The sequence below is a fragment of the Homo sapiens genome, chromosome 7, assembly GCF_000001405.40.
Source record: "Homo sapiens chromosome 7, GRCh38.p14 Primary Assembly".
Lineage (NCBI taxonomy): Eukaryota > Metazoa > Chordata > Mammalia > Primates > Hominidae > Homo > Homo sapiens.
Genome location: NC_000007.14, coordinates 112,540,994 through 112,542,991, shown reverse-complemented (window position 1 = coordinate 112,542,991; position 1,998 = coordinate 112,540,994). Strand labels below are relative to the sequence as shown.

General features: G+C 37.6%; 1 annotated feature.

The window, feature by feature from the left end:
- Positions 1,000 to 1,187: a silencer, noted in NCBI's record as "fragment chr7:112181860-112182047 (GRCh37/hg19 assembly coordinates)". NCBI's record gives its function as "represses an EF-1alpha promoter that drives an FKBP-Casp9 reporter gene in an ReSE screen in K562 erythroleukemia cells {active_cell/tissue: K562}" and the evidence as "EXISTENCE:reporter gene assay evidence [ECO:0000049][PMID:32094911]".

The following is a 1,998-nucleotide window of genomic DNA, read 5'->3' as shown; positions in this document are numbered from 1 at the left end:
ACTGACATTTTTTACAGATTTAGAGAAAACTATTTAAAAATTTATCTGGAACCAAAAAAAAAGCTTGTATAGCCAAGACAATACTAAGCAAAAATAACAAAGCTCTAGGCATCATGCTACCTGACTTCAAACTATACTACAAGGCTACAGTAACCAAAACAGCATAGTACTGGTACAAAAACAGACACATGTACCAATGGAACAGAATAGAGAACTCAGAAGACTGCATATCTACAACCATCTGATCTTCAACAAATCTGACAAAAACAAGCGATGGGGAAAGTATTCCCCATTTAATAAATGGTGGCAGGGAGAACTGGCTAGCTATATGCAGAAAAATGCAACTAGACCAGTTCCTTACACAAAAATTAACTCAAGATGGATTAAAGACTTACAGTAAAACCCAAAACTATAAAAAGCCTGGAAGAAAATCTAGGCAATACCATTCAGGACATAAACATGGGCAAAGATTTCATGATGAAAATTTCAAAAGCAATTGCAATAAAAGCAAAAATTTGCAAATGGAATCTAATTAAACTAAGAGCTTCTCCAAAAGACACATGAAAAAATGCTAATCATCATTGGCCATCAGAGAAATGCAAATCAAAACCACAATGAGATACCATCTCACACCAGTTAGAATGGCGATCATTAAAAAGTCAGGAAACAACAGGTGCTGGAGAGGATGTGGAGAAATAGGAACACTTTTACACTGTTGGTGGGACTGTAAACTAGTTCAACCATTGTGGAAGACAGTGTGGCGATTCCTCAGGGATCTAGAACTAGAAATACCATTTGACCCAGCCATCCATTACTGGGTATATACCCAAAGGATTATAAATCATGCTGCTATAAAGACACATGCACACGTATGTTTATTGCAGCACTATTCACTATAGCAAAGACTTGGAACCAACCCAAATGTCCAACAATGATAGACTGGATTAAGAAAATGTGGCACATATACACCATGGAATGCTATGCAGCCATAAAAAAGGATGAGTTCACGTCCTTTGTAGGGACATGGATGAAGCTGGAAACCAACATTCTCAGCAAACTATCGCAAGGACAAAAAGCCAAACACTGCATGTTCTCACTCATAGGAGGGAATTGAACAATGAGAACACTTGGACACAGGAAGGGGAACATCACACACCGGGGCCTGTTGTGGGGTGGGGGGAGGGGGGAGGGATAGCATTAGGAAATATACCTAATGTAAATGACGAGTTAATGGGTGCAGCACACCAACATGGCACATGTATACATATGTAACAAACCTGCATGTTGTGCACATGTACCCTAAAACTTAAAGTATAATAAAAAATAAAAAAATAAAAAACTAAGAGCTTCTGCACAGCAAAAGAAACTATCATTGGAGTGAACAGACAACTTATAGAGTGGGAGAAAATCTGACAAAGGTCTAATATCCAGAATCTACAAGCACCTTAAACAAATTTACAAGAAAAAAAAAAACATTAAAAACTGGGCAAAGGACATGAACAGACATTTCTTAAAAGACATTTATGCGGCCAAGAAACATATGAAAAAAACAACATACTGATCATTTGAGAAATGCACATCAAACCCACAATGAGATACCATCTCATGTCATGCGAGTCATCATGGCAATTATTAAAAAGTCAAGAAACAGCAGATGCTGGTGAAGCTGCAGAGAGACAGGAATGCTTTCACACTGGTGGGAATGTAAATTAGTTCAATCATTGTGAAACCGAGTGTGATGATTCCCCAAATACCTAGAACCAGAAATACCTTTTGGTCCCATAATTCCGTTACAGGTATATACCCAAAGGAATATAAATAATTCTGTTATAAAGATACATGCACACGTACATTCACTGCAACACAATTCACAGTAGCAAAGATGTGGAATCCACCCAAATGCCCATCAATGATAGACTGGATAAAGAAAATGTGGTACATATATACCATGGAATACTATGCAGCCATAAAAAGGAACAAGATCATGTCCTTTGCAGG